The sequence below is a fragment of the Homo sapiens genome, chromosome 10, assembly GCF_000001405.40.
Source record: "Homo sapiens chromosome 10, GRCh38.p14 Primary Assembly".
In the NCBI taxonomy this organism is placed as follows: Eukaryota; Metazoa; Chordata; class Mammalia; order Primates; family Hominidae; genus Homo; species Homo sapiens.
The window spans coordinates 48,586,379-48,603,078 of NC_000010.11; the positions used below are offsets into that span (position 1 = coordinate 48,586,379).

Here is a 16,700-nt window from a genome sequence, read left to right on the forward strand (position 1 = left end):
GCATAACTGCAGAGTGCTTAGACGTACAGGTGCCTAGTAATGGGTTACTATGGTGATAAGGATTAGGATAATGGAGATGGCGCAGTGGATGTCTCCATGCAGAATTTGTTTCCTAAAGCTGGGCTCCCAGCAGTGAGGTCACAGGGCAGAGAATGGACCACTCTCTGGCCCCTGGCCCTTTAAATGTCACTATACACTGCCTTCTAGAGATGGCATTTGGCTGTATTACACCAAACAATTATGCCAATGTGCCACTTTCCCCATCACTACCAACATAAAATAGTATAATTTGAGCGTTCCTACTCCATAATTTAGTAGGTATAAAATGGCACGTAGTTATTGTCTTAGCTGTTCTGATTTTGGGTGATTAATCAACTGGAACATCTTTGCACGGGCTTCTACCAATTGTATGAGACGTCTGCTCGCTCCATTTGCCCATTTAGCTGATTGCCCACAGCAGGAGGAGCACTGAGTCAAACTCAGTGGCATACAATCCTGGAGTCCTGGAGACCCAGAGCTACTGGGCCCCCTTTCCCTCTCCATAGGAGCCCCAGACCTTCCCTGCAAGTCTTCCTACAGCCTGGAATTTCCAGACACCTGTATTTCCAGACACCTGTAGCACCCTATCCCGCATCTGTGCTGCACAGCCCTGGCTGCTCTGCAACCTCAGCAGCCCCGTGTGGAGGACACAGACTTGGAAGAAACCACCCTGCCCAGATAAGGGTGAGCCGAGCCTCTGATAAGACAGGTGGGGTTGTGCCAGAAGAGACCCAAAGCATCAGAAGGGGCCTTTCTGCTCCAGGGCTGCTGCCTCCCCTTCTCCATCTCAAGCCAGCAAGGGGTTGAGCAGGGCTGGATTCAGCAGCACTCACCAGTCCCTTTCCAGGGTTGGGGCTGCATCAGGCCCTGGGAGGTGGAGCTGACAAGTGTTATCAGGACCCCTGGGCTCGAGAGGAGTCTGGCAGGGGACTAAGGAGGACAGGGAGAGGTGTGCCCCTTTGATTACTGAGTTTTCTTATCTGGGTCTCAACTTGCTCATCTCTAAAATTCCTTCAATGGGTTGAGAATTGCTAGTCAAATTAGGTCACCAGTGCCTGGGCTTTTTTTTGTTTAATCAAGTGAGATTCCTACCATGAGACTTGGCAGATGTTGTTTCCCCTGGCAGTGAGGAGTCTCTGGAGCTGATGGGTTGGCTTAGGTCTCCACTGTCTATTCTTGAATTCTCCTTTATCTCTTATCAGAGAATCTTCAAGGGCTATGGAGAACATTTTGTCCTTCCACAGATGTTTGCAGAGTACTCTTTGGGGTCTTTAGTGGGGACTGAAGTCATGGAATGTTCTAGAGCTACATCCCTGATTCTGTCTCTTGTCTTCTATTACAACAAGGCCTGAAGCTGGTTCATTAAATGCACTTGCTCTTCTTTCCACATCCCCCATAGCATCCTGTGCAGGGCTGGTGCACATTAGGAGCTCAACAAAAACTCGGTAACTCATCAGCACAGTCCAGCTCCTCTGAGCACTGCTGCACCCTCTGTCCCAGCGGTGGACAATGTCTGTGAGGTGCTCTCTGTCCAGGCATGCCTGCCCCAAGAAGGGTGAGCTCCCTGTGCATAGGACCATGGATGCTGAGCCTGGCTGAGAGCAGGATCTTGCACAATCAATACATGGCTGACTGTGGGACTGGCCTGTAGTCAATGTGGCAAGACAAAGAAGGTGGGCACATTCTGTGCCCTGATGCCCAAGGCCCAGGCATCAGGCCTCCTGAGAGCTTCACGTAAGGAGGGAGCAGGTATGGGGGGCCATGTTCACTGGGGCAAGGGTAGGCAGGAAGCTCTGGGTGGTCTCTACTTCAGTAGATGTAGGCATCCCCGAGGGTTCCACCTGCCCCACCCTGCAGGATAGGAAAGGCTGGCTCCAGTCCCTCTGACAAGGAAGCACTTCCTGCAGATGCTACTGAAGCTGCAAAACCAGCCTAGGATTTTCCCCAGCTGATCAATCACACACATATTAGGCTGATGGAGCTTCTTGAAAGGAAAATAATCATTGCTATGATTTATTAATAACTGCTGTTCCGGTCTTCAGCACTTCCTTTAATCAATTTATTTGGTCCTGTTAATATTTAAACCAGGCCTCAAGTCAAACAGCTCTGGCATTCTAAGTCTCCAGAACAGATCAGAGTTTCTGGAGGGTCCCCAGGAGCAGGCCCAGGCAAGCTCAGGGCCCAGAGAGGAGGAAGGTGCCCTTCACCCTCCACCCTTCCCAAAGGTGGCTCTTCCATGCACACGCAGGACCATCCATTCACTCATCCATTTATTCCAAATCTATGGAGCTCCTCCAGGTACAGAGCCCAATTGACTTGATGGTGTTCCCTGTGGGGTCCCGCAGTCTGGCAGGGGAAGTAAATCACAACCACCACGGAGGGATGAAAGAGCACAGGCCTTGTGGGGCAGGCAAAGGCTGTGGATGCTGACCCTGAGGTGCCGACCTTTCTGCTATAGACCTCTGCTGAGGTCCCTCCACCCCGTGGAGGGAGGCCCCAGGCCAGGCCTCGAAGGATACTAGAGTGTGGGATGACCTCAGGGGAGGTGGGGCTCAGGCTTGGGAGGAAGAAGCTAGCCTGGCACTTGCAATCTTTTGGCTCACATGACTGCGTGTGCCGAGGGGCCGCTGTCACCTACTCTTGCTGACAGGCACATCTTGAGAGGGTGGCCCACATACCTGCCTCTCCTTCCTCACCCCCCAGTCCCCACCAACTCCTTGCATTTAGAGATTTTGGCCTCTCCTGATATTGCTCTGACCAAATCCAACCTGAATTGGATCTCAGGGTCTCATCCTCCGATGCCCTGTGGTGGCTCAGACACTATTAATCACCCTCTGCTTCTGGAAGCTCTTCCTTCCTTCCCCTCTGCAGAGCCCAAATACCAGCGTTTTTGCTCAAGTTTCTTTCCGCTTCCCCAGCCTGCTTCTGGCTTCAACTTCCTCCATCCTCCCAAATCCTGCTGTTGCCCAGGGTTGTCCCAGCTGTCTCTATTTCATTATGAATCCCAGGGCGTTATTTCTGCCCGGATCTTACTCAGGAGCTTCAGACTCATGTGTCAAACCATCTGCAGGACACTCCAGAGAAATGTCTCATGGTTATCTGGGCCTATGTCCAAATTCAACATGTCTCTCCCCAACCCACTTCTCCTCCCCATTCTCATCCAGGGCTCCATGACCAAGCAGACTTAACAGCTTGGACTTGTTCAGACAAATCCCTCCCCGTCAAGTCCTACAGTCCCTTAGTTTCCAAATCTGAAGATTCTCTCAGTGCATTCTGCCTTCTTTTCATCTCCCCTTTACTGAACTGATTTGTATATAGCCATCCCTTGCCTGGGCTACTTCCTGACTCTTAGCTCCTGCCTTCCACAAGATTCTCCAAAATAGATATGCAGCTACTAAGGGAGCTACACACAGATCTTCCTACACACAGTTCTAAAAAATCTTACTCTTTTCACAGAAGTAGTTATGGTATTTACTACACACAGAGGAAAATCCAGCCCCAGCCTGGCAATCGCTACCCTTCCACAGCACAGGATTTTCCTGTGTGTAGCTCCCTCCACACTGCACCCCACGGGCATGTACAATTATTATGTGTCAATTATAAACAAAATTTTCAAAAGCAGGTAAACCACGCCAAGGGAAGAGAGTTAAGGTCGCAGTGTCATGGGTGGAGGGGTGAGGGTACACAAGGGCCACTTTACAGAGAGAGGGTAGGGGTGACAGGAGGGGGAGTACAGCAAAGAAGCCTAGAGAACTCTTTCAGGAATGTTCCCTGCAAGCAGGAGAGAAGAGGGGAGAGTGGTATGGAGGGGCAGGGTGCCCCTTGCTAGAACGGGAGGGACCCGAGCCGGTTTAAGTGCATTTGGACTGGCAGATGTGGAGGCTGTGGGTGAGGGTCAGGTAGGGTGATGAGTCAAGAGGGAGCTTCCTGGGAGGTGACAGGATGTGGAGCCTGAGCTCAGGGGGTCAGAGGTTAGCATGAGATGGCAAGACACTGTCCTCGGTTGTGGTGGGGGCAAGGAGGTGCCCTGTAGCAAGAATGAGGCCTTCCTCTGCTCGGAAGTGCCCCACCAGCTGAGGCCCTACCTGCTGGGATTGGAGAGTCTACCTGTTCCCCATAGCCCTCCTTGTGCTCATTCTGACAACGTCCCCATCCCATGCCTCTATATTGCTGCAGCCCTGAGCTGCATTTGTGCCAGGGTGCCCATAAACCCTTGAGTGGCCTGGTCAGGACTACAGGTCGCGCTGTGCCGGGCCATCTGGCCTGTGAGGGAGGACGTGGGCTGCACGCCTTCCCAGTCACTGAGGATGGTAAACTTGGCGCTTGCTCTATGACTCTGGCCTGGCCGTCCTGGGGACTCTGGAGGTGGTCATGGGGGTATTGCTTCCTCTTGGGGTGAGATGAGAGAAAGAAGAAATTCAGCGCATGGGCAGGGTAGGGCTGGGGTGGGTGGGCAGTGGAAGGGATGGACGTTCACAAGAGCCTGTGACTGCCAGAGCTAGGGCCCGGCAGTGAATAATTTCACTTATTTCTCAGCGCAACCCTGATTTCTCAGATGTTCGAATTGAGGCTCAGAGGAGAGAAGAGCTTCCTCAAGGTCACACAACATTGCTCTTATGTGGCAGAGCCGGGATTCAAGCCCTGGCTGGTCTTGCTCACTATGGACACTACAGTTCTGAGACTGCAAATGGAGCCTGAGTAGCCCTTAAGTGCTTCAGCTCAGAGCCTCCAGAGAGGAGGAGCGCCAGGCTAAGAGGGAGGGTGACTGCGAGCCCGCAGACTCAAAAAGAAATGAAGCCTGAGATGAAAACACGTTAACACAAACACAAGAGGTCAAAACCCTGGGTGTAGGCAAATGGAATTCAAGTACCCAAAGGTTCATTCATCGTTAGAGGAGAGCAGAAGGACTGTGCAACGCGAAGTCACCCCGAGGCACAGGGCCAGCAGAGGAGGAACCATTTCACGCCATTTTCTCATCCAGGAGGGATCCTTCATTTCTCAGAATTGAATAAATTAAAGAAGTGAATATGCAATGGGAGAGAGAGGAAATACTAATAACTACCAGCATGTATGGGTATGCTGAACTTCAGCAGTGAGAGGGGAAATGCAGACTACAGCCATAAGATACCGCACTGTGTACCATTTAGATAGGTACTTTTTTTTTAAAGTTTGGCGATATCACATGTTGGCGAGGCTGTGAGTAATCCTAAGTCACATATAGAGAGTAATTGGGCTGTATTCATTAAAATTAAAAACGTGCATCCTGGGCAACATGGCGAAACCTCATATCTACAAAAAATACAAAAATTTGCTGGGCATGGTGGTGTGCCCCTGTGGTCCCAGCTATTCAGGAGGCTGAGGTGGGAGGATTCCTTGAGCCTGGGAGGCAGAGGTTGCAGTGAGTCGAGATTGCATCACTGCACTCCAGCTTGGACAATAGAGCAAGACCCTGTCTAAAAAAAACCCCAAAACAACAACAACAACAACAAAACATGCATGCTCTGCAATCTAACAATTGTGCTGCTCACCTCTGTCCTGCAGAGAGAACTACAAATGCATGGGTAGTCACAATCAAGCATGCCCATTGATATCTAAAAATGTAAAAACCTGAGTGCCCGTTAGTAAGAAAATGGACAAACTGTGCTATATTCACATTAGAAAAGACTTGAAAAGAATGAGATCAAAATATACAAGCTAACATGGTTAGCTTCTCTTTTATCCAGCACCTCACTGTCTTCAATCCTTGTCTCCAATTCCTGCCTTGTTTTCTCTCACTCTCTCTTTTAGACAGAGTCTCACCACTACATTGCCTAGGCTAGACTCGAACTCCTGGGCTCAAGCAATCCTCAGCTTCCCAAGTGGTGGGGCTACGGGTATCTGTCACCGCACCTGGCTTCTGTTCTCTGTTAAGCTTCAGTCAGGCTTCCCCAACATCCGTCCCACCAGAACTGCTCTTACCACGTTGGCAATGACTCTCACATTGTTCAACCCAAGCGTCCAGTCAGTCCTCCCATTCTTTGGCCCTTTGGCTACACTTGATTGTGAGGCTGATCCATCCCAGTCCCAGGACCACTTTGTACTCCTGGGTTCCAAGATTATACTCCCCCGCTTCTCCCCTCCCTCACCGGCTGTCACTCCCATCTCCCCGTCTTCCTGACCTCTCAGTGCTGAGTGTGCAGGGCTAGTCCTTGGCCCCCATGTCTGTCTATATCTCTGCCTCATGGGTTTGGACACCATCCATGCACAGAAGGCCCTCATGTGGCTCAACCCTGGCCTTGACCCTGCCAATGCTGCATGTCCAAAGCAGAACTCCTGGTCTTTCCCTGCCCCAGAACCCACTCCTCCCAGGGTTCCCCCATCTCAGCCAGTGGATACCCCATCCTCAGATATTCCCTGCTCCCAGCTGCTTTGTTTCTCACCCGAGTTACTGCTGCAGCCTCTTCAAAAGAGGGCAGCCAGCAAGAGTTCTTAAATGTGGGACTTAGATCACATTGCGCCCTGTGAAAACCCTGCAGGTTCCTGAGCTCGCTCAGAGCAACAGTCAGATCTGACACTATGGCCTATGAGGGTCCTGGGGACCGGCCACACGGCCTCTCGGCCTCCTTTATCCTCTCTTGTCCTGGCCGCACTGTCTCCTGCTGTTCCTACAGACATGTGCCCAGCATCTGGCTCTACACCTGCCATATGCCCTCTGCTCTCTGGGCCCTCCCGGATGCCCTAGGGTTCCTCTCTCAGCCCCTTCACTCTTTACTGAAACATTACTTTTTCAACGACACCTCTCTTATCACTCTTTAGAAACTGCTTCCCCCACTGCTCCATTTCTCCTTCCTGCTTTACCTCAACATTTACTTCAATTATATTATAGAAGTGGAAGAAAGTAAGTTGCAGAACAATTTACAAAATATAAAACTACAGTAGTCTCCCCTTATTCAAGCCAGGGATATATTCTTAGACCCCCAGTGGATGTTCCCAGACCCCTGAGGATGCCTGAAACTGCAGGTAGTACTGAACCCTGTATACAGTTTTTCCTATACATACATATCTATGACAAAGTTTAATTACTAAATTGGCACCACACTTTTGTGCTCTGGAGCCATTATTAAGTAAAGTAAGGGTTACTGGAAGACAAACACTGTGATACAGCGACAGTGCATCTGACAGCTGAGATGGCTACTAAGTGACCACAGGCAGGTAGCTTAGACAGTGTGAAGATGCTGGACAAAGAGAGGATTCATGTGCTGGGCAAGATAGAGTGGGACACCACGCTACTCAGAACAGCATACAATTTAAAACTTATGAATCGTTTATTTCTGGACTGTGGGTGTCCATGGGTAACTGAAACTGCAAACACGATACTGTGGATATGGGGAACCACTTTATATAAAAAGGAAAGAAAAACAAAAATCCTAAACAAAAGACATTGCAATGTATTCTCAGCGGGTGCTCGTGTTTGTACACAGTTAGGTCTGGAAGGAACATATCCCACCTAGAATGGTGATAATGTTCCTAAAGGGAAGCCCGGAGCTGTTATATTGTACATTTCATGAAGGGAATGAATTTTTTTATTATATAAATTACAATTAAAAGTTTTAAATGAAAGAGCTCTTTTGGAGTGGAGCTGGATCCCCTTACAGGAGTTCTAAAATAGCAATTAAAGGATCATTATTTGATACATGCTTATGAGTATTTATCTGAGACAAGCATCACACTAGGCTCTGGACCACAGCAAGCAAGAAGGTCAGAGCCTCTGCCTGCATGGAGCTCCCAAGCTAGTGGGAGAGACTAACACCGATCAGCCCACAACGAACAGGCCAGGATGCTGGTGGAAGCCTGGACCAAGCCTATCTGTGGTCCTCCCATGGGACCACCATCAGGGAACTGTGAGTGAGCACACTGGTCCCTCTCTGCAGGTGAGCTGCTTGGGTGAGCCTGGGACTCCAGCCTGCCTCCTCCACCCCGTCTCTCTCTTGCCAACCAGGGGCTCAGTGAGGGTGTGTGGATCACTCATGGGCCGAGCCCTGCACTGACAAGAGCACCTGGCAGCTGCCAAAGCTCAGACATTGCTCTCTGAGATCATATGGATCATGATGGAGCTCTGCCCAAATTCTCTTGAATCCCTTTTCCTGTGTCTATTTCCCTCCCCACCCCCAAATGTGCTGTCCTTCCAACAGTCTTCCCAGGGGTGGGTGGTGGTTTCTCAGGATTGCTGACAGGTTTTGGAAGACCGGCCTTGGGCTACTGGAGCCTGTTTTGCCCATGTACTGGGAAGACTGGGAGTGCCTAGGAGTTTATATCATCCACCCCTCGCCCAACTTAGGAGCTTAAAAACCTCTAACCAACCTTATTTCTAGCTAGGTACAGGGGTGTACTTCACTCTTCAGTTGGGGGCTCAGGCTGAGACCTCCCTTTCCTGTTACATCTGAAAGGGTAACAGGACTTTGCTCATGTCCTGCTTTCGGATCCCCCTCCCCCTCCCCCCCAACTGTGTCCCCTGAGGGTCTCGTTAATAGATTACTGCATGTGAATCCTTATCTCAGGGTCTGCTTTGGTTTGGAGATCCCCACTGAACATATTCATTGTTTTCAGGACCTTTTGAATAGACTGTGGCAGCCTTTGAATAGACTTGTGCCTTTGAGCAGCTGCTGGGCTCTCAGCTCTGGAGATACTCCCTGGGGTGAGGCACCCTGCCGTGGGCCAGGGATGTTTCCTATCTGCAGCTCTGTGAGTGCAGCCCCTAGAGCATGGAGAAGTGGCTGTAGGACAAGAGAGCTAAAACACAATTGATTTATAGAAGTCAATGAGATTTTAAAGCCGGGCTGGGAAAAGAGCAAAATGGATCTCAGAGCTGAATTGATTTAAAGGGTAAGTATTGAGCCAAAAGATTGATTGAGGAGAGAGAGATGGGGTATTGGAAGGGCACTCTGGAGGGGCCGGGAAGAGATGGTTTCATCAAGTTAATGCAATTTGCTGCCAAGGGCAAAGGGGACCTCCTTCCGGGTCCCACACCGTCCTGGGAATTGTGCACAAGCATCAGATGATTTATTACCTAATGGTTCTTGAGTGCCCCTACTTTTAAAAACTTGTTTATATATATGTGTATAGTTTTATTTGTTTATTTTTTTTTGAGATAGAGTCTTGCTGTATCACCTAGGCTGGAGTGCAGTGGCATGATCATAGCTCACTGCAGGCTCAAACTCTTAGGTTCAGATGATTCTCCCACCTCAGCCTTCTGAGTAGCTGAGATTACAGGTGTGTATGACTATGCCTGGCTAATTTTTTTTTTGTAAAGATGGGGTCTTGCTATGTTGCCCAGGCTGGTCTCAACCTCCTGGCCTCAAGTAATCCTCCTGCCTCGGCTTCTGGAATTACAGGCATGAGCTACTACACCCAGCTTAATTTGTGACTTGCATTCTTCCTGGCCCTAATTGGCCACCTGTTTGTTCCTAGGTTTCCATCTAAGGGGATCTAGAGAATGAGCCAGGCCCTCCTAATGAGCCTCGCCTCGGCATGAAGAACTAGAGCCAATAAGGTGCACAGCCTATCCATTCCTGCCCCCAGGAGTGAAAATATTAATTTTTAAGTAGTGATTAGGTAGATTAGAGAGTTTGGATTTTTTTTTCATAGTGAATACTTTAATGATTTAACAATCAATATAAAAGATTGCATTCTTGAAAGTTATTTTAATCAATGCTTCCTGGGTCTGCCTCCTGGCTCAGCTGAGGCTGGTATTCAGCAAGGGCAGTGGGAAGCCGGGAGACACCCGAAGTGTTTGCTCTTTACTTCCATGCAGGATGCAGCCCTAGATTCAAGCGGATCTGGTGTTCATTTATCCATTCTTGAGATTATGGGGCCTCCCGTATGCCCACCTGTGAGAGCCACTGCATATGGAGACGCAAGACACACACCTGCCCTGGCAGAGCTAACGGGGGACAGATGCCCCAACACCAGATCTTGCTGTCATCTATAAAGGGAGAGGGGAGTGTGAAGGCAGCAGCAGTGAGACAGTCGGGCTTGGGGTGGGGCTGGCTGGAGGGGGCAGGGAGCCGGGGTGAGGTGAGGAGGGATGAATGAATGAGGTGAGCCTCACTGAGAGGTGGAGTGTGCCCAGCACGGGAACAGGAAGATGCAGAAAGTGAGAGGGTGAGTCCAGACCAGGAAGTATGGCTCCACTTCCAGGCTTTTCACCCTGACTCTCATAGGACCCACATTCCTGTCTTAGGAGAGACCATACCCTAAGCCCTTGCCAGACTAATGAAAACCCACCCTCTGAGAAAAAGCAGCCTGTTGGACCTCTTCCAACTTCTGCCTTCAACCCATTCTGGTGTCTCTCTCGTGGCTCCTTGGAAGAGACCGTGCCCCCTTTACAGGGTGTAGACAGTTTTCGCTACAGCCTTAGCCATCAGAGACATGGGTCTGATGTGGCTGTGATGTGGAGGGCCTCTGTGAGCTGGTGCCCAGCTTCCTCCCTCTCACACCACACACCTGGGTCTCTCCAAGCTGACAGGTCCCGCATGGGCCATTGTGCCACACCTCCACCCCTGTATGTCTGCCTTTCCCTTTCCCTGGACTCATGACTCTGCTGGTGAATCCTGACTCACTTTTGAAGCATCAGTGTCAGTGCAATTACTTCCTAAGGTATGAAGACCCCTCTGGTAGGCTCTCAACGCAGAATGATTGACTTCCATCCCTTATGCTGCCCCTGGGACCTTGCTGACACCTCTGGCTGGACATGCACCTCTCCTTCATAAACATGTGTCTCATGTCTGCGAATGTGAGGCAGGAATCCTCAAGTTTGAAGAGGATGGGAACTCATCAAATCCAAGAGACTTTGTGCCTCTGTAGATGATCTGCTTGGGTTGGAAGAAATCTGCCAACAGGATTCTCCTACCCACGGCCTGTTTCCACACATGAAAAGCTAAAGGGCATGAGATTACTGATTCTCTGCCCATAATCAGAGAAGCAGCAAGCAGGAGAGTGGAAAAGTGAAACTGTAGCTTAGCAGTGGGTGAGGAGAGGCAGTGGGAGGTCATGGAAGATGCACAGGATTCTGAGTCCCGAGGCCCTTTAGCCTCTTAGAGCCTCAGGTTTCTGTCTATAAATGGGGGCCAGATACGGATCCTGCTGCTTCCTAGACTGTGGTGAGGATGAAATCAATGGGCAATTTTCTTTGAGAGCAGTTAAGTGCTGAGTGAACAGTGTAGGCCCTGTTTCTTGCTCCCGCAGGCTGTGCCCCTTGGAAGCCTCTCTCCTCTCTTCTGGACTTTGTTCAGGGGCTGATGGCCCAGGACCCCAGGTGCTTGCTGTTTCTGCTCTGTTCAGATAAGCAGGCCATTCACCAAGAGCCTGGGATCGGTAAAATCAATATAATTCCATGTCGATTATAAATTTCATTTTCTGCCTGCCTATGAGCCATTAGCTTAGATCAATATATTCTCTACCCTTGGTTAAGTAATCACTGGGGCTGGTGAGGATTTCAGCAGAGTCAGGGCAGGATCCTGACTACCTTGCTGCCTTGGATAGTGGAGTCCAAGGTGGCCTCCTGGCCCACGCCTAACTCAGTTCAGGCCTGTCTTGCAAATAAATCATTTATCCCCTCCTTCAAACAATAAGGTCATGGCCAGTTCTCCAGCTGTCTGGGGCTACAAGACCAGCTTGGAGCTGCTCCAGCCCAGCACCTAGCAGCACTGTGTGTTCTGAGTGTCTAAGAGCACTGGTCAGGTGGGGGCACTTATGGATGTCTAACATCTTCCGTGGGAAGAGAAACTCTGTTTTCCCATCAGTTGGTTGGAGTTATCTGGGAAGAAGGAGAACATGAGGGTTGGTGGGGGAAGAGGCTTGAGTTTGCAGCGCCCCTCTTCTGGGTACAAACAGCCACCTTCATCTCCTGGCATGAACCTCAGGCAGCAACAGATGGACTGGTGGCCTAAGGGCTGGGTGGAGGGTGGTGGCTGGGAGTGTTTGTTCTCAGCTTGTGGTGCTGAAACACTCTGGTACTTACAAACTCTGCAGGGCGGGGAGGTGCCAGCTGCTGCCCAGCACACAGCTGGCACTGGGGGAAGAGTGTCTGGAAGCAGAGGAACCCAGCTCTCCATAGATCTGTTTCAACAAAGGCCCCTGTGTCTCCCTCTCCTTCTCTGCAGGTGGCAGACGGGAAACACCATTGCTCCCACTAGCATTTACCCTCTCTCCCTGCCCTCAGGGCCACTCCCTGCGCACCTGCTGCCCCCACTGCAGCCTGCATCATTGACTAAGGCTCCAGACAGGCACGCCACTCCATTGTCTAAAACCCTGCCTGGATGTGGGACAGGCTCATTCCCTCACATCACCTTGTCCTCCCACTGCCTTCCTGCATTGCAGCCACCACAGGGGCACACCGCTTGCCCCAGGTTGCCACCTCTGGGCCTTAGCACAGAGGCTTTCACAACCTGGGGCAGCTTTCCTCTCTTGCTGCCTGGATCCAAGCCTGGCATGTAAATGTGAAGGCACGCACTATATGTTCAGAAGCCTTTGGGTTCTTGATCCCAGCAGTGCCCCTTCCTGGTTGGGTACCCTTCCTGGCTGGCAAGTTCTTTATCCTTTCTGGGACTCAATTTCCTTATCCGAAAAATGGGGCAATAGTGGTCTTTTTCTCAATGGGAATCTTTTGAGGATGAAGGGAGATAATGCATGTGACTGCACATGCTAGGTGCAATAGGACTTCAAGCAGGAAGTTCCAACAGGGCTCCAAGCCACACGGGATGTGACATTCTAAAGTGAGGGACAAACCAGGAAGCATGCTTTCAAAGAGGTAGGTCAAAGCCTGCTACCATGGACCGAGAAATGTTGACCTGGTCTTATATGTTGCAAACAAAAGTGACCCTGGGGCACCTCTATCCAGGCATGCCCAGAGTTAACCCAGGGACTGCCACGTGGGGACACTGGAGGACACAAGTAAAGTCATTTCATGTGCTGTGCTTGCTTGACAGCATGTCCCATGAGCTCAACAGTCATTAGTGTGGTTGTTGCGATTATTAAGCACTTGGTAAGTGCATGAAGAGTTAAATCAGTTCTGACTCCTCATGTGAGCAGGGAGGGGAAGCTACCCGAGCCTGCAGTGTTTGGAATAGCCAATCTTTTTTCCCAGAAATATGGGAGTTGAAGTAAAATAGCAGCCAAATCTGGGATTCCTCAACATCACCAGGTGGCAGGGGCCAGGCCCATCTGAGCCCACCACACACCTTTGTATCCATGGCCAACACCTGGCACCACTGGTGAGGGCTAACTCCACAGGGTGCCCACTGCTCTGTGGCCCATCAGTTCCCCCTCCCCTTTCCCACTAGCCTGCTGCTTGGCCAGGCTGACTTTCAGGGGAACAAATCTGGGACAGGCCAGCACAGAGTGGGTGGCCTGTCTCCACCTTTCATTTTGGCCCCTGCACCTAGTGATGGCATTGTGCGTACCTGCCATGGAGACAGGTGCTTGTGAGGGTTGGACAGGATCTGACAGCTTTGTATTGCTGGCATCCCTGGGGGCATGAGCTGTTCAGTGACACGTCAGCCTCCATCTGCCTCTGTGCAGCACTAGATTTGGGAGGGAGGCTTCTCAGATCTCAGAGTCTTGTGTTTAAGCTGCTTCTGCTCTTATTAGTGGTGCAATTTTGAGCATTTTACTTATATTATTCTGCCTCTGTTTTCTCCCTTGTCTCACAGAGTTGGTGTAAAGATTAAAATAGGACATTTGCATGTAATGGAAGGTCCAGCTTGCATCTGGCACATTCTAAACACTCAACAGAGATTCTCTCACTTTCCTTCCTTCCTTAAAGAGGAAAGTGGAAGGACTGTTTGTGGCCTTTAATGTATTAACAGTGGAAAGTCATATCCTTGATTGCATTTATATAAAATTGAAGAATAGGTGAGATCACTCTAGGGTGCTAGAAATCAGAAAAGTGTCACTCTGGTTGGGAGACGAGCCAGGGTGACTGGGAAGACACAGGAGAAAACTTTCTGGGCTTAAGGAAAATGCTTTATATCTTGATCTTCAGGCTGGTCACTGAGAGAACACTTAAGATTTGTGCATTTTACTCTGTAAATTATGCCTCAATAAGAAAATGTTAAAAATTTTAGAAATAAACAATGAAAATCCCAGAGGAGTATTCAAAAAAAAAAAAAATCAGGCTGCAGTGTGATTTGAGGCCACTCTTGTTCAAAGATCCCCAAATTGCAAACTTTTATTTCCTCGAATCAGGTTCCCCAGGGTTTGTCCTGGACCCTTTGCTGATCTGAGGGCCTCTGCAACTTCATTTCACTTCTGAGCAAATTTTTAGAATGGACTGACAAGAGACAGCTTGGTTCTCTCCATGGGGTGGAGTACCTGGCTAGTGGCAGAGGATGTCCAGGCTTGGGCACCTCTGCTGTCACGGAAGGTTATCAGCTACAAACAGTGGTGCCAGGGCCTGGCCTGGAAGTAGAGACTGCTGGGTGATTCCCTTTGGTCCTCCTTCTCCAGAGCAGGCTCTTCTGAGGCCTCTAGTCCCTGGCTAAGCTCCAGCCCACAGCCTGGATGCACCCTTCCATGAGCAGTTCTAATACGCCCCTTCTTCAGCATATCTTACTGACCATTCTGCTAGACCTCTGTCCTCTCTCTGAATCAGGCAAAGCCAGATGCTGTGTCACCTAATTAGGTGACTGTTCCTTAGCTGCTTCACTCTCAGAGCCATGAAGGTGGTGAGAGTCATAGGGAGCCATCATGGTACCTGACAAACCTGGGCAGGGGCATCACAGCATCGCCAAGGGCACATCCTGGGAGCCACAACATTCATAACTAAGCAATCCCAGGAGGCCTGCTAACCCTATGAGTGTCCCTGAAGGGCAGAATCTTCCAGGGCTCTGAAGGATCCCCCAGTCTGAGCAGGTATGAGGTCAGTTGACCTCTGGGCTGTGATTCCCTAACCACTTTTCAAGTAGTCCTGCAGCCTTGGGGCAAAACCCAGGAGTGTCCTATCCCTTTACTTCCATTCCCCACCCCACAGAGGCAGCCACTTTCAACATTTGTCATTGGTTCTTTTGGTATTACTTCTATGTTTCCAGATAGTATTTATTTATTACCACTTCTTGATTTTTTCCTTTTAAGTGTTATTTATTAACTTCTTACTATAGAAGATGAAGATTTTGTTTCTTTTACACCCTTTCCCCCCACCATCCATAAGCACCCACTCCACCCTCCCAATTAGTTATATTAAAATTTTGGTTAGATTAACAACAGAATTTCCATTATTAGCACCGTTTAATTGCTAGTCCCACTTGAGGTATGTTATATATGATAATAATTTTTCTTTCATGAATCACTTTTGTTTTCTGTGGAGTTCATAATTGCCTTGTTTTTTATTTGCTTAGTTTTCTGCTAGGTATCAATAATCCAACCTCAAACATTCTATGAGTTGTCTAGATCTAATCTCCATGTGTTTAGATGCACCTTCTTAAAAATATCATTGCATTTTATCACTGAAATAATCTACAGCTCTCATGGAGATGTACAGGGCCAGGTGCAGAGGTCTTCAGATAGTGTTGGGTTAGAGAGAAGGCAGAGGCCTTAGCATTGGACAGACAAATTTAGATCCCACATTTATTGGCTGGGCGACCATGATTCTTCTACATCTGTCAAAATGGTAACAATGATATCACATTATAGTGTAGTCATGAGAATTAAATGAGGTACAACAAAAGTGCCTGGAGCATGGGTGCACAATAAATGTTGGTTTACTTTCTTGTGGGACAATCACAAGAATAAGGCCATTGAAGGTACTTCATCATATTAATAGAGCTTTCTCTCCCCACCCCCAAAGTATTGACCAGGCTCTGAACATTCATCAAGGCTCCTGAGACATTGACACTCCTGCTACAGGAGATGGTTAAAGCTCCTATAACTTGGCCCATCAGTCTGATGATTTCCTTTAAAAGAAGGAGCCTCCTTAATAGCATCAACAATTTTATTTTGAAATATTGCAAACAAAGACAGAAATTCTAAAAGGAAAATATATACGAGTTAAAAACAGGTACATCTAGAAAAAAAACCCACTCTAATATAAAAATAAAGGGCAAGCAACAAATTGGGAAAATATTTGCAACATATGAGTCAGTGAAAGATGAGGCCAAATTTCCTAAGTACCGGGCCAGCTTGGGTAGAGACAGTGCTCCAGCCACCCAGGCAAATGCTTTCTCCTCTATCCAGCTATTCATCCACTCACTCAAAAAACACAGGTTGAGTGTCCACCAGGTACCTGGCATTGGGGGTATAATGATGTCCCCGAACAGAAATGGTTCCTGCTTTCACGAAGCTCATGGAGCAATGCAAGTGACAGATATTCACCAATCAGTCACACTCAGGAGTATACAACTGCAACCTATGGTAAATACCATAAAGAAAAGGAGAGATGGAGCAGAGGATCCAGCCTGGACTGGGGTGTGTGGGAAGACTTCCCTGGCTGGCAACACTTGAACTATACTATAACTGGAGGGTGAATAGGAATTAAGGTGTGTGTGTATGTTTGTATGCATGAACGCATGTGCACACACATACAGGCATGCATGTGCGCACATGTGAATGTGGGAGGCATTTCAGGGGAAAGAACGATGTGCAAAAGCCCTATGGTGGAAGCCTCATGGAACACTGAGGACTGGAAGAGG

General features: G+C 49.1%; 1 protein-coding gene across 28 annotated transcripts in view, besides 2 other annotated features; it reads right to left on the reverse strand.

The window, feature by feature from the left end:
- ARHGAP22 (Rho GTPase activating protein 22) overlaps nt 1-16,700 on the reverse strand; it is a 226,435-nt gene that overhangs the window by 156,548 nt on the left and 53,187 nt on the right. The window lies entirely within an intron of this gene.
- Nucleotides 8,230-9,054: an enhancer, noted in NCBI's record as "OCT4-NANOG-H3K4me1 hESC enhancer chr10:49802653-49803477 (GRCh37/hg19 assembly coordinates)". NCBI's record gives its function as "activates a minimal SCP1, AML or CMV promoter by ChIP-STARR-seq in naive H9 embryonic stem cells {active_cell/tissue: H9 hESC(naive)}" and the evidence as "EXISTENCE:reporter gene assay evidence [ECO:0000049][PMID:30033119]".
- Nucleotides 12,877-13,377: an enhancer, noted in NCBI's record as "H3K4me1 hESC enhancer chr10:49807300-49807800 (GRCh37/hg19 assembly coordinates)". NCBI's record gives its function as "activates a minimal SCP1, AML or CMV promoter by ChIP-STARR-seq in naive H9 embryonic stem cells {active_cell/tissue: H9 hESC(naive)}" and the evidence as "EXISTENCE:reporter gene assay evidence [ECO:0000049][PMID:30033119]".